This window comes from Homo sapiens, chromosome X (assembly GCF_000001405.40).
Source record: "Homo sapiens chromosome X, GRCh38.p14 Primary Assembly".
NCBI classification, from domain to species: domain Eukaryota; kingdom Metazoa; phylum Chordata; class Mammalia; order Primates; family Hominidae; genus Homo; species Homo sapiens.
In genome coordinates this window covers 111,070,182-111,097,725 of record NC_000023.11, presented here as the reverse complement: position 1 = coordinate 111,097,725, position 27,544 = coordinate 111,070,182, and the positions used below count along the sequence as shown (strand labels likewise).

The 27,544-nt window shown below is 40.0% G+C and overlaps 1 protein-coding gene across 40 annotated transcripts in view, besides 1 other annotated feature; it reads right to left on the bottom strand.

The window, feature by feature from the left end:
• PAK3 (p21 (RAC1) activated kinase 3) overlaps positions 1 to 27,544 on the bottom strand; it is a 282,965-nt gene that overhangs the window by 129,636 nt on the left and 125,785 nt on the right. For 20 of the 40 annotated variants that reach the window (NR_136747.2, NR_136744.2, NR_136745.2 and 17 more), the window contains exons 1-3: positions 1,311 to 1,535; positions 270 to 336; positions 42 to 151 (exon numbers count right to left, since the gene is read on the bottom strand). The exons of 10 other annotated variants lie outside the window; for them this stretch is intronic. The gene's annotated coding sequence lies outside the window, so the exon portion shown is untranslated. Of the gene's footprint in view, positions 1 to 41; positions 152 to 269; positions 337 to 988; positions 1,184 to 1,310; positions 1,536 to 27,544 lie in introns of those variants that run through there. 10 more of the 40 variants (NR_136743.2, NR_136740.2, NM_001324333.2 and 7 more) reach the window with 2 other exon arrangements.
• Positions 1,335 to 1,464: a silencer, noted in NCBI's record as "silent region_20943". NCBI's record gives its function as "represses an Ori minimal core promoter by ATAC-STARR-seq in GM12878 lymphoblastoid cells {active_cell/tissue: GM12878}" and the evidence as "EXISTENCE:reporter gene assay evidence [ECO:0000049][PMID:35858748]".

Here is a 27,544-nt window from a genome sequence, read left to right as displayed (position 1 = left end):
AATTATAATTTTGCAAATGGCCCAGTGAAAACCGCACTGACCTTTACACCTTGCTCATCCCAGAACAGGGCCACGGTGTTGTCACCAACAGGAATGGACCTCCTTCTGTTCCAATACCTCAGACAGCCATACACTTGGCCTGGATTTGAGTCTGCAAAACCATGAGGGGAGCAAGACTAACATGGCTAAAGGCTTCCCTGCTGAAAGCCGTTTTTTAAAAATAGCACTGCAACCGCCCCCATCATGCTTCCCAAAGCCAAGCCACTCACCCTTCTCTCCTTCGCTTCTACAGACCAACAGCCCAGAACCCTCAAGTCTAGAATCTGGAACTGGATTCTGAAAGGTGGGACCAAAAAAAAAAAAAAAAACAAGTGGGGCCTCTATCTCTCTCCTTGCCTGCATCCCCCTCTTCCCACCATCCCCCACCCCACCCCACCCCTTAACCACCACCTAGGGAAGGAAAACTTGCCAGAGTAAGAATCTAAAATGTTCAGTTCACCCAAAAGTGCGGCAGTAATCTTGCCAGAGCCAGTTCACAAACTGAGGGCAATGTCCCCCAGCGAGCTAAGGGGAACAGGAGAGAAGGAGAGGCAGTGGACCCAATGACACTGCTCCCCAGACAAAGAGAGGGCCAATCCAGGGACCCTGAGCTTTCTGGGGGCGTTATTGCATCATTCCAATCCCCACAGGAGAAGAAAAGGGTCCCCCTGTTATTACCATCCCCCCACCAAAAAAAGGGGAGGGGGATAAAGAAAAATAAAAGAAAGAGGGGAAGGCGCCCGTTTAAGAAAATCGTCACTTTTTCTCTTTCCTCGTGTGTGTGTGTGTGTGTGTGTGTGTGTGTGTGTGTGTGTGTAAGGGGCGGGGGGGTTCTACCCCGGACTTGGCCAGACCGTGGCCACACCCCCTCCCCTTTTCTAGGGAACTGCTGTCACAGCTACTGGGGCTGGGTAGGGGGGCGGGCGGGGGGGTGAAAGGGAAGACTTACAGGCTGACGTAGCTTTCAAGGCGGGTTTTGCCTCAAGCGGCCCAGGCCCCAGTAAACGAGTCTAGGGTTTGACCAAGCGAAGGAGCCCCGGCCCTCTGGGAACGGCCCTGACACACCCACTTGTCCGCGAACTGGGATCATGCAAACTGCTCGCTTGGTCTCAGGGCTCCGGGGAGCCACGTAGGAGACTCGAGGCTGGGGCACAAACAGGACAGGAGGGGGGTCCGGAAAGGCAGAACATCTGCCCAGCAGCCTTAAAGCATCATCCAACAGCCACCCCCTCCCCCGCGGTAGCCCGGGTGCAGTTAGTCGCGGGATTTACCTGCCACGGATCCAGCCACCCCGTCAAGACCTTTCCTCTACCTCCGAGCGCTCCAGCTGGCGGGGCTGGGGAGCCGCAGCCCCGCGGCCGCAGCCGCAGCCCCGGGCCCAGCCCGCTCCCCCTGGCTCTTCTCCCGCCCCCGCACACTGGCTCGAGGCGGGGAAAAGCTGCAGCCCCCAGTGCGAGATCCCAGACGGTTAGCTGGCACAGCTGCCCGCCCGCGGTAGAGCCCCTGCTCGGCAACCGCTCCCTAGCCCTTCTCTGCTATTACGTCACCCGAGCTCTGCACCTTACCTAGGCCAATCAGATGGTGAGCATAAAACTAAAATCGCCCTGAGTGGGCTACTGGGGACCAATCTTTTGTTTCCAGGCAGGAAGCGCCTGGGAGGGGGAAAAAACTGAAGGGGAGGGAACATGGAGAGGGAAAGGGAAAGGAGATGGAAACTTCTACACTGTCAGGGTTGTCTAGACAGAGGTGGGGCCATCAAAAAAGAGGGGCACCTGACAGGATGGAGAGGAGGGGAGAGTTCATGTATCTTCCTTAATTGCTCCCCTCAGGAGAATTGAGATTTCAGATGAATTTTCAGGGGACGAAATCTGTACAGCTACACGGGCACACTTTATTCGGGGGAAAAAACGGTTTCGATTTGGGACACCACCTGTCAGCCAGGCAGGTTAAACTGACGGAATCTCTAAAATACACAGAAAACTAAGAGAGACAGATGTGGCAGTGGAATTCAAAGAGATGGCAGTCTAGATCGGGAAACTACTTTTCTGCATATGAAGCACACACATTCCAAAAAGCAAGGAATTATACAAAAAATAAAAATAACTCTACTTCAAATGGAGCTTAAATGCGATTCTCTCTGTCCATCCTTTCCCTTAAACCTTCAAAGCTTTCTCTTGTCTTTAGGATACGGTTCAAATTTTTGCAGATGGCCAAAGCTTTATAAAATCTAACTCCAAAAATAATCTCTTGCTACTCCAAAATCCATACTCCCCATGATTTGGCTAGATTATGTAAATTATGGTGAATCCCAGCAAGGCGACAGTAAGCTGCCATAAAAAGTCAAATAATACAAAACAATAAGGACATTCAAATTATAATGATGTAAAATATGCCTACAGAAAACGATCAGAAGAGGACATAAAATTGTAACCGTTGGGTTAAACTAGTAGTATTATGAGTAACTTTTTCTTTCTACTTTCAAATTTATTTTCATAAAGATAAATATATCCTCACATACTTAAATGGCCAAAATAGATCATGACCCTTCCCAGTGAACTTTTATTCAATTTTCTCCACACTGTGTAACATCCAGCAATAATTTCTCCATAATGCCAACAAAATAGGTTTCAAGAACAAGAGTGAACTAATATATCTGCCCAGGTCCTTTTAGTAAAAGTCGTACAAAAGAGCTACAGATGACCACACGCGGTGGCTCACACCTGTAATCCCAGCACTTTGGGAAGCCCAGGCGGGCGGATCACCTGAGGTCAGGAGTTCAAGACCAGTCTGACCAATATGATGAAACCCCGTCTCTACTAAAAATACAAAAATTAACTGGGCATGGTGGCATGCGCCTGTAATCCCAGCTACTTGGGAGGCTGAGACAGGAGAATCACTTGAACCCAGGAGGTGGAGGTTGCAGTGAGCCGAGATTGCGCCACTGCACTCCAGTCTGGGCAACAAGAGCAAAACTCCGTCTCCAAAAAAAAAAAAAAAAAAAAAAAAAGAGCTACAGATTCGCCAGACAAAACATCTCAGGCAGTTGAAGAATGGGATGCCTCTTTTGGACTGATTCATTTTAAATTGTGATGATACAGGGAATTGAGAAAAACAACAACAATGATCCACTCTATGCCAAAACAAGAAAGAGGGAGGCAAAGACTAAGTAAACGATGTAATCCAGACCATTTTTAAGGGTCAGTTTGCATTTTATTTTCCTAAATTCAAAATATATATATTAATGCATATATGAGTATTACATTAACATTGTAGAAAGTGGTAGAGCTGGGATTTGTATCGAAATGAGTCCAAAGTCCATGCTTTTTCTAATATGATACAGTTTACTACTGCTAAGAATTAAATGTGGTATTACTGGTTTTGTTAAAATACATACTTGCTTTAAAAGAAACAGACTATATAAGATTGGCATTTTTAAAAAATCAGGCATTTTTAAAAATAGCTTTTTTGGTGTCGTGGTTGTCTTTAATGCAAAAATATACAACACTCTTTCTCAAATCCTTCATTAATAAGTTGGAATCAGGATGGTTCTGACTCCAGTGATTTTACAGATATCTTTTTAACTAACTTTGGAGTTAAAAAAAAAAAGCAACCACATCCCACTGGTTTTTTTCTACACCATGGTAAAAATAATCTAAAAAAATCACAAATCAAAATGAATGTAATTTATTCAATGTTAACATCTCTGATTTGTAAAATGCATTTATTTGGGTTAAACAAGAACCTTTTTTAAGAAATAGAAAAATATAACTGGATTTTCCTGGCTAATGATTTAACTTGGGTCTTCTAGGCTATTGATTTAACTTGTAATGAGAAGGTATTTGATTTCACTCTAATCCTCCCATATACCTCAGCTATAACTCAGAGCTATTTATGCAGTCACCACACATGGTTATTTAAACATTTCATGGGTGTATTTCCTTTCTCCCTAGTGATTGTAGAAAGTAGCATGTGGACAAAATCCTATTAGGTGACTGACAAAGCATAGTGATGTCATAGAAAGAGGACTGGACTTAAGACCCAAGCCTAGGGTCTTCCTATGAAAGGGTGATAACCTATGTTATTCTTGATACGAGAAAGCAGTCTTTACTGTCAACATGGTTTGTTCTCCAAGAATATAGGGCAACTGCATGGGAGATCTCAGGAAGGGATTCCAATCTGAAATATCTTAAAGATTTCATCTGTGTAATTTTTCCCCTCAACTCACCATTTTTACCACCCAACTCACTGTTCTCTTGCTTGGGAGCTCTTTGATTTAAGGGTATTACAACACTACCATCATAACCACTTGGCATGTGTATCCTACTTCTCAGGTTACAAACCACTTTTGTATCTCCCCATCTGATCCTCACAACAACCACAACAGTTTACTATGGCAATTATTATGATCTGCATTTCATAGATGAGAGAATGGAGACTCAGGGGTTTGAAGTTACCTGTCCAGTGCTTCACAGAGATGGTCCTGGAAACCAGGTCTCCAATTCTCAGTTCTATGTTTGTTCTGCCACCCTATATGGCCACTTGAGTTGTATATCTTCTCTGGGTCTTTACCAACCCAACTAGCCCCTTGATTCACATGAGAAGTGAGAAGCGCTGGGATGGGGCTTTTAATAACAGAAGTAAACTGAAATGAATATCTTCAAACTGTTTCAGTCAAATCCTGGATAAAAGGAACATTGCTCACTCTCATATACAATTGACGGGAGTGTAAATGGCACAACCTTTTGGGAGCACAAGTGGGTAGTACTTAGGAAATGTTAAAATGCATGTGCCACTTGACCCAGCAATTCCAACTCAAGGAATCTGATTATGAATATATTCATAAAAACATGTCAAGAAATGTTGAAATATGTTATGCTGAATATTATATAAGAATGAAAAATATTACATGAAAGGTAGCCTAAATGTCCCTCAGTAAGGGAACTGTTGTTTTTTTAGCCACTTTGTCAAATATGATTGCCATGTAAAAAGTTGTACATATTTAATGTATACAACTCTATGAGTTTGGGAATAAGTATACACCTGTGAAACTATCACCACCATCCAAGGCATGGACATATCTATCACCTCCCAAAGTTTTCTCCTGCCCAAGTAAGTGAATCATTAAATAAATTATGGTAGATACATATTTTGGACTACTATGCATCAGCTTAAAAAACCAAGTATATAGACCCCTCTGTACTGAAATAGTAATACTCCTTGACCCATTCTTGAGTGAAAAAATGCAGAACAGCACGTGTATTATGATTTTATTTTTGTTTAAAAAATTGGGTGTATGTGTGTGTTTTAACTGCTAAAGGGGACACTCTGGGAATAAAAGAGGGTAGGAAAGACATGTGGGTATGTGTATATGATGGGGGACATTAACCCTTTTCTTTATATACTACTGTCTTGTTTGTATGTTTTTACAATAAGCATATGCTATATTTTACTTGTAAGAAACATCATTAAAAGGGGAAATAGGAAATACAGTCTTATTTTGGTTAAGACAAAAGCAAGCAAACTACCCCTGCTATCCTGAAAGAGGTCTGAATGCCAGGTCAATGATTCAGGTGTAGCAATCAAGGCTATGGTGTGCCAGACTGAGCTGAGCCATACCTGGGCAGGCACTGAATGCAAGGCAGTAATGAATAACCCACTGGGCAAAAGCAACCCAGATTTCCTTGCTCCCTTCCCACCCCTGCCTCAAGTCCCACAGCCAGAAGTTGTTCCCAGTAGTGGACTCTGGGTCTGTTTGGATCTCAGTCTTCACATCTTTTGCTACAGCAGCTGCACTAAAAAAAAAGTGTCCCCACTCTTTGAATACAAAAGAACCTGGGGTTTGGCAGCTGGTGCACAGCATTGGCTAGGAGCACAGTGCCTACTCCTCCTTCACTCAGGGCCGCTCACTACAACCCGTTGCCATTACTGCAGTCTGGTGCAATGGAGCCCCTTCCTTCCTGCCTCCCCATGCCCATCATAGGGGTCTCAAGCTCTTCTGTGGCAGGCAGCATTGTGGGTTACCTGCTGGGCAAAGAGCAAGGAGCATCAGAGATGCCAAGAGGTCTTGTCCTAGGTCTCTGAAAAATCAGAGGTGAGGGAAAGAGGAAAGCCCATGGCTGGGAAGTTACCATTCTCTTGGGTCTTCGAGTTCTTTCCTGGAAATCAGGAAACCCAGGTTCTATTCCAGCCTCTGGAGAGGAAATCCTGAACAAGACTCAAATTTCGCTGGGCACTAGTTTTCTCCTTTGTCGAACTCGCCTTGCCTCTCTCCTTGGATTGTTGTATGGATACAAACAGCTAATGGAACAAAAGCAGATTTAACAGATTTCTGAGCTATACATCTCCTTAATAGACTTGATGAGTCGCATTTACATATGCTCCCTAAATGGTGGCAGCTTGGGAATGAAGGATTTCTCCTGACCTTCTTTCACTACAATTATCCCCCATTAGAGACCTGCCCTGTAGAACCTACGAGCTTTCTGAAGCCCCCAGCTTTTGCCCTGTTCCCTTCCACCAGGGAGTTAGTGAAGGAAAAGCAGAAGACAATTAAATCCAGGTGGCTCTGGGTGAATTAATATGAGAATTAGAAAGTTCCTCTCCTCTGACTTGGTTTTAATTAGCCCTGCTTCCACCATGGTCCTACATATCAAACCACATTGTTTAATTGAGCTGATGCTCTGTTTGATTTTTCTCCCAAGTGGATCATATTATATATTCCTTCCTTACATGATCTCAATCACTGCACTACTGGAACCTAAGTCCAACCTGCAGAGTGAATTGAATTTGGAAAGTTGGTTTCATTGCTCTCCCCATTTTACTAAGAAGGAAAAAGAGAAGGAGAAAGTAGAAAACAAAATCTAGGGGATAAAGAATGAAGGAAGTAAAGAGAAAACCAAATCTTATTTATTTTTATTTTTTTTGGACCGGCTGGACTATGATGTCATGTTTTTCCAGCTCACCTGTGATTGGCTGCTCAGTTCAGCATCTGCTGAGAGCTAAAGGCTGATTATTTGCCGGAGATACAGACCTTTCAGGGAAGCTTTGAATCATTGCTGGTTGTCGTGACAACCTGGGCAGTGTCTGCTCCTGATAACCACATAATGAGGTTGTCAGGAACAGAAGTGCCCCCATCCCCACACCCAACCATCTGAAATGGTGAGCAATAGAACATTTCTCTCAGGAGGCGAAGAGAAAATAAATCACCAAAAGGCAAATGGTGGAGATCCTCTCAGACAATTTATGTCAGGCAAATCCTGGAAACAATCTTGAAGAGTTCCATATCTACCCTCTCCAGGTCCCTCTTGAACTCATGTATCCACTATAATCCAGAGACATGAGGAACAGGTGGTGAAGGAGTGAGGAACCTCTGCAACCCTCCAGTAAAGCTAAATAGAGGGAGGTGTGAGTGGAATGCCAAATTGACTAAGGCAAAGCACATTACCTCTCTTCAAGGGGCTTCATTATGGGCATGGTCCGGGGAAAAGAGGGCTATGTGTCAAAGATGGTAGGGCATGGCCAAACCCAGTCCCCAAAGCCCTACATGAAGAGAGATTGAGGGAGATTGGTTGTGGGCTTTTCTGCTTGCGACTTTCATTTCCCTGGAGGTAAACACCTCACTCTATATTCTCGTGGGGCTCCAGATGTTCTTGAGAGGGAATATCAGTGGCGTCTTTGTGGTACATTAGAAATTCCTAGGACAGACTTATTCAGTTCCTACTAAGTGCAAAACACACATCTAGGTGCTACGGACGCTACATAGGTGAGTCAAACTTGGGGCATCTCCTCAAGAAACTTGGAATCTAGTTGGGAAGAGAAAATATACACCCAGGAAACTATGACACAAGACAGATGTAGTAAGTACTACAAAAGAAGTCTAAATTCTTTAATTTCACAGAGAGGAGAATCACATCCAGATTGTCACACTCCAGCTGTAACTCATCTTTCCAGGGTTTTTTCCCACCACTCCTTCCTTATACCCCGAGGGTCAGCCGTATCAAACTTCCTCTGTTTCCTTGATGTGCCTTGACTTTCATATCTCTGTGCCTTTCCTCCTGATCTTCCCTCTGCCTACCACAACTTTCTCCCTCCTTTCCCTACCCAATGATATTGAACACATATTTCCAGACTCTACTCAAATGGCATCTTGTTGATGAACAAACTGGTCTTATATTTCTAATCCCAAAGGGATCTGTACCTGGTGGATATGGATGTTGACTAATCCACTGATATCACTACAGTACCCAATATTCAAATCTAGAAGCATAAAAGAGAACACTGGTACAACCAATTTTGGGTTATTCATGGAAAAGCCTAAAGTCAGACTAATTTAGAAAAGTCTTATTTAGATAATCAACACAAACCTGTTCTCCCATTAAACATCTTTTATAGCTTTCTTATTTTGAAGTAGTTTAAGACTTACACAAAGTTACAAAAATAGTACAGAGAGTTCCCATTATCTTTCACCGAGTTCCCCCAATATTTTGATATATTATATTGATTTTATTTTGCACAGCCGCAGTACATTGACAAATCCCTGGAAACTGACATTAGTATATGACTACTAACTCAAATACTGACTTTATTCAGACTTGCCTGGTTTTTACATACATTTTTCCATTAACTATTTTACCAACTTGGCTGAAGAGGAGCAACATTATTAATAGTTAATCTGAATGTCAATATTTTTCTCGGGCTCATCCCTTTCTGAAAAGGACCAAAACCTGAAAAAGTCAAAACTTCCCCAGAACTGAAAGAGTGAAAGTCAGTTTGAGCTAAGAAAAAGCAGCCCTGCCATTAATCAGGCTGGGAGAATGGACAGATAAAGCCAGCTGCAAAGTTAATAGAAAACACTTTCTCCCAAGGTCACACGGCAGTTGTAAAAGGCCATAACTACACCGCCTACTTTGAGTGACTACTCCTTTCTTACCAGTGATGCCTTAAACCTGCTTTGCTACTTGTATTTATTACTGGAGATACTCAGTTCTTAAACCACACAATAAATTTGAGTTTGTGGGACTATAGTCTTGTCTCTGACAGTCTTTGGCTAATTAAGCTTTACCATAACAAATGGTAACCAAGCCAGGGTTACCTAGAAAACCCCTTGAATGATCAGAAGTTAGCCATATTTCCTAGAATCTACCTAGAGGCTCACAGTGTGACTAAAATGGGTATGATATACATAACAGATGTCTAATAAACTCTCACCACATTGATGTGGGATTGTTCTATATCAAATTTAGTGTAATGGTACTGGATACAAGGACAAAAGCCAGGAGGGACATTATTACATAGACGTCCAGCATGCAGTCTCTGTAATTAAACCGCTGGCCTTCAAATCCCAGGTTCACTATTTTATAGTTTGATAACCTTGGACAACGTATTTAGTCCCTCTGAACCTCAGTTTCCTCATCTGTGAAATGAGGGATCCAACAGCACCTTCTTCTTAGGGTAATTGGGAAGGTTAAATATAAATTAAATGCATGTAAAGTGGGAAAGCATTAGGGTAGTGGTTCTCGATTTGGCTGCACAAGGAACCACCTGGTGATTTTTATAAAATGCTAGTGCTTGGCCCCTACCCCTAGACATTCTAACTTAATTGGATAGCATGAATCTGGACACTAGGATTTTTAAAAAATCTCCTCAGGTTCTAATCTCAGATTCCGATGTGCAGCAAAATTTGGGAACCACTGTATTAGGGATTTCATTACTTAAGGACTATTTTTCTTCCACAGGCTTGTGGTTATTCTCTCCTGATCTCCCTCAGTGTCTGATGTCTCTGAGTGTCTGAAGAAGGCCAGGAAGTGGAATGGGGTGGGGTGGGGGGAATTTCTCAAGGAGAAGGCATTAAATTTGATCTTCTTGGAGGCTTTACCCAGGTTTTTTTGTTTGTTTGCTTTTTGTCTTCTGTTTTTTTTTTTTTTGTTTTTTTTTTTTTGCAGTCCCTGTCCTGATTACCAGATGGTTCGTTCTGGTAATGAACATCCCCTTTTTCTTCCACGTCCACAGCAAAATGATGAAGATATTGAATATTTGGGTAAAACTGAAGCTGTATTAATCTTCTCTTCTGTTTTCCCCTCCCAAACAGAACTCAGTCACACTTCAAATTAAGTGGTCTCAAGTGTGAATTTACAAACAAAGTTAATATGTGCACACAGGATTGGCTGACCATGGAAGATGTGTTTGATAGATGCAGATCTCAGTGTGCTGTTGTTTCATATAATTAAGCACCTGTTGCACTTCATAATCAATCCTTTTTTTTTTTTTGTAATAATGCAAGAACTTCTTACAGTCAATGTTCTCTCATGTTCACTTGATACGACCACTTGTAGGGGAAGGACATTTGAAACAGCTTGCCCCTCCTACCCTTTTTAATCATCCAAGAGAATACATTCCCTACTCAATAAATAAATATCAATTAACTGATGAATTTTAAAGGTCAGCAGAATAGAAGTTTACAATATGTTCATAATTATTTTAAAAAGTGGTTCACCACCTCTCTCCCACAGCAAACCCTGCCACACACACACACACACACACACACACACACACACACTTACTTGTTCATTCCAGCTGCTAATATGGAAAATTTAACGAATTCTGACATGTGAGGCTAAAGTTTACTGCCAAAAAGGAAAGGGGGCAAGTTGCTAGGCAAATTAATACTATAAACATAGAAAAGTGACAGCCTGCTAGGAGAGTACGCTAACACACGTTTTTAAAGCGCCACTCTAAGTGCACTTTGCATTCAAATTACCAATATGCTAATTATAGTCCTTATCTGTTTGTTTGAGGCCTTGAGAGTCTAGGCAGCTCAGAGCACAGACCCCAGCCAGCAGTTTGACTGCAGGTTTTTAGAAATAATAACATGGCATTTCTTTAAACATATTTTCAAATTCAAGCTTCTTACAAATCAAGATTGGCCTTTCCCTCATTCAGGGAATTAGTGAGGCTTAACTGTGTTCGCTATGGTGCCATCCCCCACAAACCCCTGCTAACAAAAGCTCTGACTTCTACTTGAGCACAGTCTGTTGGGGCAGATTTTCATGGTAATTTGCGGGCTCTGTTTTGAAAGACATGGGGCGTCTTTGTAAATGGGATTGGTAGATGGCAGGGGGTGGGAAGGGTGTACTTTCTCACTAATCGTGAGATTGTCTTTGACCCTTTTTAATTTTCACCACCATGTAAGGCCAGAAAGAACTCTTAACTCAGGTTTTTTGCAATTTACATCCCCTAATTCTGTTCTTAAGAGAGAGGTAAAGAGACAGAACACCATTCTCCCTACACTCCGGTTGAAATTATCAGACATCTATCACAACTATATTGGGGGTGGGGACTGAGGATTTATCATTCTTCCCCCAACCCTAGGCTTTATTTGGATTTGCTTGGTAGGGGAGGGTGATGGTGAGTGTATCCTGTTTTATTTATATGACACAATCTTCAAATTCCTTACTTTCTCTTACAGATTTGTGGTAAAATCTAAACTATCTAGAATCCCACAAACAGCGCCTCAAAGAATAATATTTTTTGTTATATTGCACTTTGAAAAAAGTGCCCACCCCCCACCGCCCCCCTGCCCAGTGCACACATGTGCACATGCACACACACACACACACACACACACACACAAGCTGACATCACAGTCTTCTCTCTACGGTTTAAGCTAATGATCCATGGACATAACAGGCTTATTCTTAAAAATATTATGAAATTAGTTTTATTGTGTTCTTTCCTTTCCTGTGTTCCAGTCTTCCTTTTAAGGACTTCTCCCAGATACCCCAAAGCCCAATGAGCTACAGTCACTGCCCGTTTCCTTCCTGTATCTAGAAAGGAGACAATCTGATTGACTTCTTTGCTGTACGGTCTTATCGATTTCATTTATTGCTCCTTTTAGGTTCTGTGTATTTTAGGAGAACCTTTCTGGAGTGGGCAACAATGCTTCAATCAAAGGAATGAGTTGCAGAGGTGAAAATGTAGACACCACTGCAGGCGTCTGGGGAGTAGATGAAAGAGGGATATTTTGGAGAAGAAAAATTGCAAATCACACTGCTAAAGAGTCCTTCCCCCAACAAGGTTGGTTCTGATACCCACGACCTCCAGGGTTCTCAGTCATTCACACCATCTTTTCAGTAATCCACACCATGTTTTCAAAGGCAGACTTCTGCATTCATACTTTAAAGCAAGACTCAACTCCAAGAAGCTTCAAACAAAAATAAGGCTTTTGAGTTAAACAGAAATTTAAAATGCCTAACAGAGCTGCTGATCCTCTGGTTAATTGCAATCTGACCATATTAGGAGTCAAGGCTAGTCCCTGCCTCAGAGCATCTTTCTTTGCTGCCATACATTTTTATGCTTTTTGATTTAAAAGGCTGGAGGTGACAGTGGGGTTGGGGAGCAATCTCATGGCTAGTTTAGCCAAGCCCCTGGGATATCCTAGATTTAAAGCAGACTGGCTAAATTGAAAAAAACATTTTTTTCTGGCTTGGGAATTTTGATTGGCTATGACGTATTACTTTAAAAAAAAACTGTCGTGTTTAAACAATCAAATTATCTTGTTTTTAAAATTACATCTAAAACCAACTCAGTACTTTAAGATAAGTTCCATGCTTTCTGCCACCTTTGGAAAGCCTGCTTGTACTAAAAAAGTTAAAATACATTTTCATCTAAGGAGATTCTCTCCCCAGACCATTTTGGGTGAACTGAGAGCCCAAAGCTGTTTCTATATCGGCCCAGAGACATGGACTAGGCCATTTACTCAGTAGGTCATTTGTAAAGCTCCTATAAAAAGGGGTAGTCGTTTTTCAGATAATTTACTGCACCAAATCACACACAAAAAAGGAAGGCACTAAAATGAAACATAAAGCCCCACACATTCCCCTGAGTTGGCGAAGGGATAGTTTCAAAGTTTCTGAATTAGAAAGAAAAATGTATCATAGAAAGGCTTGGAGGCTGGATGACTCAGCTGTCAGACAATGTAGTTAAAAACTTCCCTGGTTGTGAAGCATCGACAAACTTGACATCAGAACTTATCAGTTACTCTGCTTAACTAGAAAAAAAATGGGTGTCATCCATCCACATCGCAGCAAGGGAGGCAGGCCCCAAAGTAGCAGTCTAGAAGTCAACAATATCAAATGCATAGCTTGAGCTGAGGGTGGAATATGAAAATCAATAAGGACAGAAGACACAGAAGATAAGCAACCCATGTTTAAACCCTCCTCACAGTTAGGGCTAAACATTTATAGCCTGTGCTTATTTTGTTTCATTTAACAGTTACTTCTTTCCTTATAAAGCACAGAGAAAAGAAAATCCATTAAATCCAGTAAATCAATAATCTGTTGAATATATAACACATTCACAAAAGAGTGATGTGCCTCTGACCTAGTTTCCCTACAATTCACGTCAAATAGACCTGGCCCTTGCCCTCCAGATGCCTACAAAGATAGCTAATACAGGAAGCAATAGAAATGTGTGTGCAAGAAAAATAGGACAAACATTGTATGGCCCCCTGTGGATATTCCATGAACACATTTGAATGGACCAGCCAGTCAGTTCTCCAGCACACTATAGGGTTGTTGAATTTTATACCGCAAGAAATGCAAAGTAATTTTTAATGTATGATTAATCAGGATGAGTACATCTGCAATCAAAAAGATAAAAATAATTTTGAAACTGCTTTTATCCATAGCATGGTTGAAAGAGTTGACTGTCCATAAACTAAATAAATAAGATCAGTGCTTGCTGGCAAGGCCACGATCACCACTCTCTGTTCAATGCCTAGCACTCTGCCAAGCACCAAAAGGCATGCAGTATTTGTGAACCAAGTGAAAGTCATGCTGTAGAAAGAAAAGAGTTGGTTCATGCAATGGGGAAAGCGTAGAGCAATTGTAGGTACTGCATGAGTGGAGAATCTCTCCCTTGCTTACTGTGAAGAGCATAGAGCTGCACCTTCCAGAATGAAACATTCAGAGACAATGTCTTATTTGTAGCAGTAGATCAAAGAGGCCAAGAAATGGCTGAGATGAAAATAGAGGAAGAAGGAAGGACACAAACAAGAATATAATTCATCAGTTCGAATGTTTAGAGCATATTTCAGGTGGCAAAGGAAAGGAGGAAATGTTCCACTTAAAGAAGAGGTTAAGGAACAGAGAGGGTTCATATGAATAAATCTGGGAACAGAGAAAGGGAACAAAATCTAGCCTTGTCATAAGTGAGAGAGGATATGGAATGAATAATGATTTGAGCCTCCTCAAGTGGAGCCTTTTTAAAGTCAAGTTGCAGACAAATGAATAAACTAATTTAGGAGAGCAGCAAGTCATGAAGGCCTTATTAAAAATAGCCATGAACCAGAATGAGGTAAGGGATTACTTAGGAAATGTGAGCCAACTGAAACCAGTAGCCATGGCATACCAAATCTTATGAAGAAAAAGACTTTCTGTGCTGTATTTTGATTTATGGGAAAGGAAAGTAAAAAGCCATGACAAGAAAACCAAACAGGAAAACCACATTCATTTGGATCTAGCCAACTCAGTTTTGTAATAATCCCAGACCTAGGGTGGAATAAACTTACCTTTTGCGTTTCAAACAAAAAACTGTTAGCTAAGCAAATTATTAGTGTTCATATCAGATGGGATTAAATCACCTTGGGAGAAAATAATTTCTTTTAAATATTTCTTTGGCACTAATTTGCATATAATAATCCATATCCTAATCATCAACATGTCTCATGCAATGAACAACCTTTTATTTTCGAACATCTATTGTGTGTCAAGAAGCATGCTAGACATAGAAGATACAAAGCTAGAACTATATCCGTGCTCCTTGACTTTAAGAAACTCATGGTTAGGTATCAAGGAAGGAGGAGAAAAATATACAGGAGAATATCATCAGTTTAAAAAACATTGCTAAATGTCTATCATCTGTCAGGAAAAATTCTAGATAGTTGACATATATCACTTGCATTTCCCCATGCTTAGCCAGGGCATGGGTGCAAATGAATTCACCTTAATAGTAATAATCCAAGTAAAACTGGTTTCCTTTTTCCTGTTTTCCCAACCAATGACTATTGCCCCTTTCTTCTTCCAAAGTAACATCACAAAGATCAAATGGAGCAACTAAGCCCAATGAGAACTTGCCAGAATAAGCCCTTGTTTGTCCACACTTACCCCACCCCCAAGGTCTTCTTTATAATGAGAAACTTTCCAAGACCCACTTGGTGTCTACATGAAGCTTAGCTATCTAATACCCAGAACTCAACAGAAGACATTTTTGAACCTTTATAAAGTGTTAGGCCTCAAGTTTCCTCAGGCCATACCTCACCTTGATTACAAATGAAATGGCATGCACTTTCATAACTCAAATTTCACTGACTTGTATCCCCACCTATGTAATAGAGAGCCTCAGTCCCCCTTAAGCTCTACCCAGTTATTTCTAATAGTTGTCAGGAACAGTCCTTTCATATTGTTCTTCCACTCTCACTCTCTTCGTGAATGTCAACTGCCAACAAATTCGATCAACAAACGTTTCTTAGTCACAAGCAGTTGCTCAGTTACTGGGGATCCAGAGGGGACCACGACAGCCAAAAGCCTTCCTCTTATTAAGGAACTTTCATTTTTTTTAATTTTATTTTCTTCGTAATTTTTCATTGTGATGGTCTTATTTTTATGACTTATTTTTTGTCTTTAAAATGTATTATCAATTTTAAAATGTAAAATCAATTAAATGCAATGAACAACCTTTTATTTTTGAACACCTATTGTGTGTCAAGAAGCATGCTAGACATAGAAGATACAAAGCTAGAACTATATCCATGCTCCTTGCCTTTAAGAAACTCACAGTCAGGTATCAAGGAAGGAGGAGAAAAATATACAGGAGAATATCATCCATTTAAAAACATTGCTAAATGTCTATCATCTGTCAGGAAAAATTCTAGATGACATATATAACATATAACATATATATTTAATTGATAAATAATTGCATATATTCTGTACAACATGATGTTTTGAAACATGTATACATTGTAGAGTGGCTAAACTGACCTAATTAAAATATGCATTACCTCATATGCTTATCTTTTTTTTATAGTAAGAACAGTTAAAAATCTACTGTCTTAGCAATTTTCTTTCAAATTCAGTCACATTTTTCAGGCTCCATTTCTAATTCTAGTTCTCTTGCTATTGAGACCCTGTGACAGGGTCTCAATCTGTCACCCAGGCTGGAATGCAGTGTTTCATTCACAGCTCACTGAAATCTCAACCTCCTGTGTTCAAGCGATCCTCCCACTTCTGCCTGTAGCTGGGAGTACAGGCATGTGCCACCACGCCTGGTGAATTTTTGTATTTTTTTGTAGAGATGGGGTTTTGCCATGTTGCCCAGGCTAGTCTCTAACTCTTGAGCTCAAGAGTTTGAATGCTGAAGCGATCCACCTCACTTGGCTTCCCAAAGTGCTGGAATTACAGGCATGAGCCACCGTACCTGGCCAGCAATTTTTAAGAATACAATATGTTCTTATTAACTACAGTCACCATGTTGTTCAGTAGATCTCTTGAATTTATTTCTCCTATCTAACTGAAACTTTATACCCTTTGACCAACATCTCCCCAGTCCTTGCCCCCCGGTTCTGGTAACCACTATTCTACTTTCTGCTTCTGAGTTAAGCAACTTTTTAAAATTCCACATATAAGTGAGATCATGTAGCATTTGTCTTTCTGTCCCTGGCATCTTTCCTTTAATATAATGTCCTCCAGGTTCATCCATGTTGTCACAAATGACAGGAATACCTTCCTTTTTAAGGCTGAATAGTATTCCATAGTGTATATATACTACATTTTCTTTATCCAGTCATCCATTGATGGACACGTAGGCTAATTTCATATCTTGACTACCGTGAATAATGCTGCACATAATGGGAATTCAGCTATATCCTCAACATATTTATTCATTTCCTTTAAATATATACCCAGTACTGGGATGGTTGGATCATATAGTGGTTCTATTTCTAACTTTTTGTGGACCCTCCATACTGTTTCTCATAATGGTTGTACTAATTTACATTCCTACCAACAGTGTACAGGTATACTTTGGAGATATTGACGGTTTGGTTCCAGACCACTTCAATTAAAGCAAATATTGCAATGAAGTGATTCATACAAATGTTTTGGATTCTCAGTGCATATGAAAGTTACATTTGCATAATACTACAGTCTACTAAGTATGCAATAGTATTATGTCTAAAGAACAATATACATAGCTTAATTTAAAAGTACTTTGTTGTTAAAAACAATGTTATCGATCATCTGAGCTTTCAGTGACTCATAATCTTTTTGCTGATGGAGGGTCCTACCTGCATGTTGATGGCTGCTGACTGATCAGGGTGGTGGTTGCTGTAGATTGGGGGGCTGTGGAAATTTCTTAAAATAAGGCAACAGAGAAGTTTGCCACATCAATGGGCTCTTCCTTTCGTGAAAGATTTCTCTGTAGCATGAGATGCTGTTTGATAACATTTTATCCACAGCAGAACTCTTTCAAAATTGAAGTCAATGATCTCCAACCCTGCTGATGCTTTATCAACTAAGTTCATGTAATATCCCAAATCCTTTGTTATTTTAACAATCTTCACAACATCTTCACCAGGAGTACTTTCCATCTTGAGAAACCACTTTCTTTGCTCATCCATAAGAAGCAATTCCTCATCTGTTTAATTTTTATCATGAGATTGAAGCAATTCAGTCACATTTTCAGGCTCCATTTCTAATTCTAGTTCTTTTGCTATTCTACCACATCTGCACTGACTTTCTCTGCTGAAGTCTTAAACCTAATCAAAGTCATCTAAGAGGGTTGGAATCAACTTCTTCCAAACTCCTGTTAATACTGATATTTAAATATCCTCCCATGAATAACAAATGTTCTTAACGGCATCTAGAATGGTGAATATTTTCCAGAAGGTTTTCAATTTACTTTGTCCAGACTGATCAGAAGAATTGCTATCCATGGCAGTTATAACCTTATAAAATGTATTTCTTAAACAGTAAGACTTGAAAGTCAAAATTTCCCATTGATCCATGGGCTGCAGAAGAGATGTTGTGTTAGCAGGCATGAAAACAACATTAATCTCCTTGTACATCTCCATCAGAACATTTGAGTGACCAGGTGTATTGTCAGCAAACAGTAATATGTTGAAAGGAATCATTTTCTGAGCAGTGTATCTAAACAGTGGGCTTAAAATATCCAGTAAATCATGCTGTAAAGAGATGTGCTGTCATCCAGGCTTTGTTCTTTCATTTATGGAGCATAATCAGAGTAGATTTAGCATAATTCTTAAGGGCCCTAGGATTTTCAGAATGGTAAATGAACATTAGCTTCAACTTAGTCACTGGTTGCGTTAGCCTCTAACAAGAGTCAGCCTGTCCTTTGAATCTTTGAAGCCAGACATTTACTTCTCTAGCTATGAAAGTCCTTAGATGGCATCTTCTCCCAATAGAGGGCTGTTTTGTTATATTGAAAATTCATTGTTTAGTGTAGCCATCTTCATCAATGATCTTAGCTAGCTCTTTTGGGTAACTTGCTGCAGCTTCTCCTTCAGTACTTGCTGTTTCACCTTGCAGTTTCATGTTATGGAGATGGCGTTTTTCCTTAAATCTCGTGAACTAATCACTGCTAGCTTCAAACTTTTCTTTGGCACTTTACTAACCTCTCTCAGCCTTCATACAATTGAAGAAAGTTAGGCCTTGCTCTGGATTAGGCTTTTGCTAAAGGGAATGTTGTAGCTGGTTTGACATTTTACCTAGACCACTCAAACTTTGCCCATATTAGCAATAAGTCTGTTTTGTTTTCTCATCATTCATGTGTTCACTGGAGTAGCACTTTTAGTTTCCCTCAGGAACTTTTACTTTGCATTCATAACTTGGATAACTGGTACAAGAGGCCTAGCTTAGGTCTATCTTGGCTTTCAATATGCCTTTCTCACTAAGCTTAATCATTTCTAGTTTTTTATTTAAAGGGAGAGACATGCGGCTCTTCCTTTCACTTGAATGCTTAGAGACTGTTTTGGGGTTATTAATTGGCCTAATTTCAATATTGTTGTGTCTCAGAAAATAGGCAGGGCTTAGGAGAGGGAGAAGGAGAGAGATGGGAGGACAGCTGGTTGGTGGAGCAGTCAGAACATACACAACATTTCTTGATTATGTTTGCCATCTTATATGGGCATAGTTCATGGTGCCTCAAAACAATTACAATAGTAGTATCACTGATCATAGATCAATATAATAGATATAAGAATAATGAAAAAGTTTGAAATATTGTGAGAATTACCAATGTGTGACACAGAGATGTGAAGTGAGAAGATGCTGTTGGAAAATGATGCTGAATGACTTGATGTATGCAGTGTTGCCACAAACCTTCAATTTGTAAAAAAAAAAAAACAAAACAAAACAAAAAAAAAACTATGATAGCTGCAAAGCACAATTAAACAAAGTACAATAAAAGAAGGTGTGCCTTACATAGGCTCCCCTTTCTCCACATCCTCACCAAAACTTATCTTCCATATTTTTGATAATAGTCATTCTAACAAGTATGAGGTGATATCTCATTGTGGTTTTAATTTGTATTTCCCTGTTGATTAGTGATGTTGAGCTTTTTTCATATACTTGTTGGCTATTTGCATGTCTTGTTTTGAGAAATGTCAATTCAATTCAGGTCCTTTTTCCATTTTTTAATTGGGTTATTTGTTTTCTTGCTATTGAGTTGTTTGAGTTTCTTATACATTTTGGATATTAATCCCTCATCAGATGCATGGTTTTCAAATATTTTATCCCGTTCCATAGGGTGTCTCGTCACTGTGTTGTTTCCCTTGCTATGCAGAAATTTTTAGCTTGATGTAATCCCATTTGTCTAATTTCGCTTTAGTTGTCTGTGCTTTTGGGGTCATAGGTCAAATATCATTGCCCAGATCAATGTCACAGAGGTTTTTCCCTATATTCTCTTCTAGTAGTTTTACAGTTTCAAGTATTATATTTAAGTCTTCAACCCATTTTGACTTAGTCTTTGTGTATATTATGAGTGAAGCTTCTAATTTTATTCTTCTGCCTGTGGATATCAAGTTATGCCCGCACCATTTATTAAGGAGACTGTTCTTTCCCCATTGTGTGGTCTTGGCATCTTTGTCAAAAATCAATTTACCTTAAATGTGTGGGTCTATTGCTTGGCTGTTCATTCTGTTCCATTGGTCTATATATCTATTCTTATGCCAGTACCATGCTGTTTTGATTAATAGAGTTTTGTGATATATTTTGAAGACAGGCATTGTATTGCCTACAGCTTTGTTCTTTTCACTCAAGATTTCTTTGGTCCTTTAGGCTCTTTTGTGTCTCCACACAAATATTAGGATTGTTTTTCTATTTTTGTGAAAAAATATCATTGGAATTTTGATAGGGATTTTATTGAATCTGTGGATTGCTTTGGGTAGTATGGACATTTTAACAATATTAGTTTTTCCAATCCATGTATATGGAACATCTTGCCATTTATTTGTATCTTCTCCAATTTCTTTCATCAATATTTTATAGTTTTCAGTGTAGCGATCTCTCACCTCCTTGGTCTTTATTCCTAAATAGTATATCTTATTTGTTATTTAATGCTATTATAAAAGAGACTGTTTTCTTGATTTTTTGGGGGGGGATAGTTCATTATTAGTGTATAGTAGCAGTACTACATTTTGCAACCTTACTGAATTTATAATTTCCAAGAGTTTTTTTTGGTGGAGTTTCTGGGATTTTCTATATATAAGATTATGTCATTTGCAAACAGAAACCATTTAAACTTCTTCCTTTCTGAATGGGATGCCTTTTATTTCTTTCTCTTGCCTAATCACTCTGGCTAGGAATTCCAGTACTAGGTTGAGCAGAAGTGGCAAGAGTGGACATCCTTGTCTTGTTCTTGATTGTAAACAAAGAGCTTTCAACTTTTCACTGCTAAGTATGATGTTAGCTATGGGTTTGTCATACATGACCTTCATTGTGTTGAATACATTCCTTCTGTGTTAGTTCACTTGTGTTACTATCAAGAAATACCTGAGACTGGGTAATTTATAAAGAAAAGAGGGTTATTTTGGCTCACAGTTCTATAGGCTGTGCAGGAAATATGGTACTGGCATCTGCTCTTGGTGAGGCTTCAGGAAGCTTACAATCATGGCAGAAGGCAAAGGGGAAGCAGACACATCATATCACAAGAGCTGGAAACAAGAGAGCAAGCGGGGAGGACACAGCCTGTTTTAAACAACCAGATCTTACGTGTATGAATTGCACAATAATTCACTTTTCTCTTAGAGTATGGTGCTAAGCCATTCATGAGAGATCATCCCCTCTGATTCAGTCACCTCCCAACAGGTCTCACCTCCAACATTGGAATCACATTTCAACTTGAGATTTGGAGGGGACGAATATCCAAACCATATAATTCTGCCCCTGGCCCCTCAAATCTCACATCCTTCTCACATTTCAAAATACAATCATGCCTTTGCAATAGTCCCCCCAAGACTTAACTCATACCAGCATTAATTCAAAAGTCCCAACTCCAAAGTCCAAAGTCTCATCTGGAGACCTATGAGCCTGTGAGATAAAAAAAACAACTTATTCACTCCCAAGGTACAATGGCGGTATAGGCATTGACCAGACATTTTCATTACAAAATGGAGAAATTGGCTAGAAGGAAAGGGCAATAGGCCCCATGCAAGTCTAAACCCAGAAGGGTAGTCACTAAATCTTAAAGCTCCAAAATATTCTCCCTTGACTCCATGTCCACCAGCCAGGGCACACTGGTATGAGGGATGGGCTCCCAAGGTTTTGGGCAGTTTCATTTCTGTGGCTTTGCTAGATGCAGACTATGTAGCTGCTCTGATGGGTTGGAGTCCAGTGCTTGTGGCTCTTCTAGGCTGAGGATGCGAGTTGCTGCTGGCTCAACTATTCTTGTGTATGGAGGGCAGCAACCCCCTTCCTACAGCTCCACCAGGCAGTACCTGGTTGGGGCTCTGAGTGTGGGCTGCAACCTCACATTTCCTCTTGGTGCTGCCATAGTAGAGGCTCTCTGTCAGGGAATCTGCTACTGCAGCAGGCTGTTGCCTGGTTGTTCAGGTTTTCCCATACATCCTCTGAAATCTAGGTGGAAGTCACCAAGCCTCCTTCACTCTTGCATTCTGTGTACCTGCAGACTGAACATCACATGGAAGCTGCCAAGGCTTACAGCTTGTGCCCTCTGAAGCAGTGGTCCGAGCTGTATCTAGGGCCCTTTGAACCACAGCTGGAGCTGGAGCAGTAGGGATGCAAGAAGCAGCCTCCTGAGGTGTCACGGGGCATTGGCACTCTGGGCCTGGCCCATGAAGCCATTCTTTACTCTTAAGCCTCTGGGCCTGTGATGGGAGGAGCTGTCCCAAAGACTTCTGAAATGCCTTCAAGGCCTTTTCCCCATTATCTTGGACACTGGCACTTGGCTCCCTTTTAGTTGTGATAATCTAAATTGCTCCACAGCCTGTTTGAATTCCACTCCTGAAAATACCTTTTCCTTCTTTGTGACATGGCTAGGCTTCAAGTTTTTCATTTTTTTTCTCTGCTTCCCTTTTAAATATGAGTTCCAACTTTAAGTCATTTCGTTGCTCCTGTATCTGATTGTAGGATGTTATAAGCTGCCTGGCCATCTCTTAAACACTTTGCTGCTTAGAAATTCCTTCCACCAGATACCCAAAGTCATCACTCTTGGGTTCAAACACACACAGACCCCTAGGGCATGAACACAATCCAGCCTAATTCTTTGCTAGGGCATAATACGAATGATCTTTACTCCAGCTCCCAATAAATTCCTCATTTACATCTGAGACCTCATCAGCCTGGACTTCACTACCCACATCTCCATCAGCATTTTGGTCACAACCATTTAATGAGTCTCTAAGAAGTTCCAAAATTTCCCTAATCTTTCTGTCTTCTTCTGCAACATTCAAATTTTTCAACCTTTATCTGTTACCCAGTTCCAAAGCTGCTTCCACATTTTCAGGTATCTTTACAGCAACTCCTTGGTATCAAATTTCTGTATTAGGCTATTTTTGCATTGCTATAAAGGAATACCTGGGGCCGGGTAATTTGTAAAGAATGGTTTATTAGTTCACGGTTCTGCAGCCTGTAAAGCATGGCACCAACATCTGCTCAGCTTCTGGGTGAGGGCCTGAGGAAGCTTATAATCGTGGCAGAAGATGAATGGGGAACATGCATGACACATGGCAAGAGTGAGAACAAGAGAGCAAGGGGAGAGATCTCAGACTCTTTCAAACAACCAGATCTCACATGAACTAACTGAGCAAGAACTCGTTTATCACCAAAGGGTTGGTGCTAAGCCATTCATGAGGGATCATCCCCCATGATCCAATAACCTCCCAACAGGCCCCCACCTCTAACACTGGGAATCATATTTCAACATGAGGTTTGGAGGGGACAAATATCCAAATCATAGTGCCTTCTAAACCTAATGTATTTAGAGTTTTTATAATGAAAGAATGTTGAATTTTGTCAAATGCTTTTTCTGTATCTATTGAAATGATCATATGGTTTTTGTCCTTTATTCTTTTAATTGGTGCATCACATTTATTAATTTGTGTATGTAAAACTATTCTAGCACCCCAGAGATAAATCCTTTTTGATCATAAAGAATGTTATTTTTAATGTGCTGTTGAATTTATCTTGCTAGTATTTTGTTGAAGATTTTTACATCTATGTTCATCAGGGGTATTGACCTGCAGTTAATTTTTTATTGTTGTTATGTCTTTGTCAGTTTTTGGTATCAAGGTAATTCTGGCCTCATAAAATGAGTTTGGAAGTATTCCCTCTTCTTAGATTTCTTGAAAGAGTTTCAGAAGAATTGGTATTAGTTCTCTAAATATTGGTGGAATTTAGCAGTGAAGGCATCAGACCATGAGCGTTTCCTTGATGTGGGACTATTTATTTCTTATTCAATGTCTTTACTCACCATTTGTCTGTTCATATTTTCTATTTCTTCATGATTTAACATTTGTAGATTATATGTATCTAGTAATGTATCCATTTTTCTAGGTTATCTAATTTATTGGCATATAACTTCATAGTAGATTCTTATGATCATTTGTTTTTATTTAGTCATCAGTTGCAATGTGTTCTTTCATTTCTGATTTTCAGTCTTCTCTCCTTTGTTCTTAGTCTAGCTAAACATTTGCCAATTTTGTATACCTTTTCAAAAACCACTCCTACTTTTATTGATCTTTTCTACTGACTTTCTATTCTCCATTTCATTTGTATCTGTACTGATTTTTATTATTTCTTTCCTTCTACCAACTTTGGGCCTAGTTTGTTCTTTTTTCTAGTTCCCTGAGGTGTAATGTTAGGTTATTTATTTAAGATCTTCTTTTTTGATGTAGGCATTTTCTACTATCAGCTTCCCTCTTAATAGGGAACGTTGCTGCATTCCATAAGTTTTGGTATGTTATGTGTCCATTTTCACTAGACAGAGCTTGTGTTTCTAATGAAAGATAGTGGTAGCCCCTCCAACCCAGTCCAGCTACTGATGGTACTAGTACCTGTGGCTGTGGGAACATGGAGGCCCCCGCTAGACTGTGGGGGAGTATGGATTCTGAAGTGCTCCCAGCTACACATCCCTGAGGGGCTTAAATGGTGCTGCCCTCTTTTCTGGCAGCTTTGTCTGAAACCAACAATGGGTCTACATAGAAGGGTAGGAATGCCCCTTTCAGTTCTGTGCTATAATTTTGTCACCTGGACACTGAAACAATATTGCTTCTAACCTGTATCTGAGTGAGGCTCCTGTGAGAAAAACATCTTCAGCTTCTTACTGCAGCAACATCTCCCCAACAACCCACTCCCACCACCCTAGCTCAGACTTTCAAACTTGGTTACTGTCCTTGGAGAACAAACACCATCATATCTTATCAGATTGCTCCTCCATCCCTACAAATTCAGTTTCTGACACAGCCCTCCTCTGCATAAAGCCTTTTGCCTTCTGCAGATTATCTCAAGAAAATAAACATATGGGGGTCTTCACATACCCAGATGTGTCAGAATATCAATTCACTCTCATCAGGACCCCTGCTACACATAATGCATTTCATGTAATCCCTAGAACAATCTCATGTGATCAGATACAAGTTTCAGTCCACCATTAATAATTACAAACTCTAGAAAGCTCTGAAGACCAAACAGTTTTTCATAAGTTTGTTGCTAAAACTTGCCTGGTGACAAAACTTGTTGTGAATTGACATGAGGCACTCTCAGTGTAACTATTCATATGCTTTGTTGCAGAAATATTGATGTGATTGATTACCGGGTTCTGTCCCACTGAAGGTGTTATGCAACATGCAGTATTTTTAAAATAAAAAGCCCACAAAACTTGAATTATAAAACTTATTTGGCACCAAGGATTTTGGATAAGTGGTTGGGAAATGATTTTTATAGCAATTTCGTAGATATGAAAACTGATATTCAGACACATTAGGAGACTTGGCCAAGGACATAGAGCTAGCAAGTAGTGGAGATTGCAAGTAGAATCAAGGTCTTTCTTAATCTTAACCCCTTGAAATTTCCAGTACAGTGTACAAGTTTGGCTGGGTAATTATGTATGTGAAAGGGTGAGCAGATGGTTGCTGACATCAAAGGATAATTAAGACCAAGTAACCAGAGAACATCTAGAAATCTTGCCTTGAAAATTATGTGTATCTGTTTGTTAGCTACCTTGGTGATATCATTTGTCACAGTTCTACACTCAAATGAAATTATTTTCTGGGAGTGTGTTTTAGTCTTGTATTTAGAAAACTGAGAAACTTAATGGGAAAATTCAGAGAAAGTATCAATTTCTAAAGGATTCTATGATGTTTACCACTCTACTCTCTGGCTGGAACATGTGGACTTGAATTAGAAAATTTGAACAGTACTATTTGTTCAAGATAAACCACCTGTGTGACCAAATAAGCCATGTTCAAGAAATGTGACAGCTTCATTTAATATTTCCAGTGCTTTAATTAACTATACTCATAAGAGTTGCTATTTTTGAGACTCTACTAGAGATGAGAAACTGCTATATAGTTTACACCATTTTGTTTAAGAATCTTATAGCAACTCTGAAATATAGAGAGATGATGACGAGGAGGAGGAGAACAATAATAATAGTGTATTAAATCCTTACATGTGGTAGTCATTATGTGAGCTAAATTCCATATGTACATTATCTCTATTCTCTCAACAAACCCATGAGACATACATTACTAATATTCCATTAAAGATAAGGAAATTTAGGCACAGAATGCTTAAAGTGATGTTTCCTAGGTAACACAGCTACTTATGTGGTCACTGTTTCATAGTGGAGAAAAGGTTTGAATCCAGTTCTTTCTGTTTCCAAAGACCAAATATGGCCTTACTGAACTAGTCTTGTCAAGGGTGTAGGTGAAAATTCCCAAAACAGTTTTAGCATCCAGCTGAATGGTGTAAGCAAGGAATAGACTGTCCCATTAGATGGGACAACTTACACAAATTCTAGAGTCCAATACCTGATAATTACATGTGCACTGTGAAATATCACTGGAAACAATATTTTAATACATCAAAGGGTTGGAAAAATGACAGGTTGCATGTGAAAGAACCACATGCAGCTCCAGAGGCTCAGGAAAGTATTGCTTCATTAAAGGATACAATTCTCTATCGGCAAACAGGAATGTGTCATATCTGCCCTCAATTATGGGAGTCAGGTATGAAAATTCTCCCTACCAGGGGCACAGCATGTAACAACCTGGTTGGGCTCTTTGGAGAGCATCATGAGCTCAAAGCAGTGAATAAGACAGACTATCAAAAGGTGGGCTAAGTATGAACAGTGGCAGAGTCAAATGCAATGTTTTCAGGTGAACCTGAGACTACAGAATGGCATTGTTTTTGTGGAACTCAGTTGCCTCACCTATAAAATGGAGATTAAAGAAATATCGTTCTCAGCTGAAAGAAGGGAACTACATCAGGTAGCCTCAAAGTCCCTTCCAGTTCTAAGAGATCTATTAATATGATTCATTTGAAAGAGCTATTCATGAAGTATAATGATGACTACAAGTACACAAAGGCCTTACCCTTCGTTTCAGATACTTTTGCAGTCAAAGAAGCCTTCTCGCCCTGCCCCACTTCATCTTGAGTTGCAAAAATTTCCCTGCTGCAAAGGAATTGCAAAGATTTTTCTACAGCAAATGTGGCTCAGCCTTAGAAAGGTATCATGTCTCTTTTTGAGGAATGCTGTGGCCTAGACAAATGACCAGAACTTTTTGAATCACAGAGTACAAGTAACCTCACTGGAAGCATACACAGTTGAAGACTAACCTGCATTGTCCATATAAATGATCAAATTCAGCTGTTGTCCATATAAATGATCAAATTCAGCTGTTGTCCATATAAATGATCAAATTCAGCTATATAAAGATAGGGGCTTCATAACAGCTGTGGGTTGGTGCAACTAC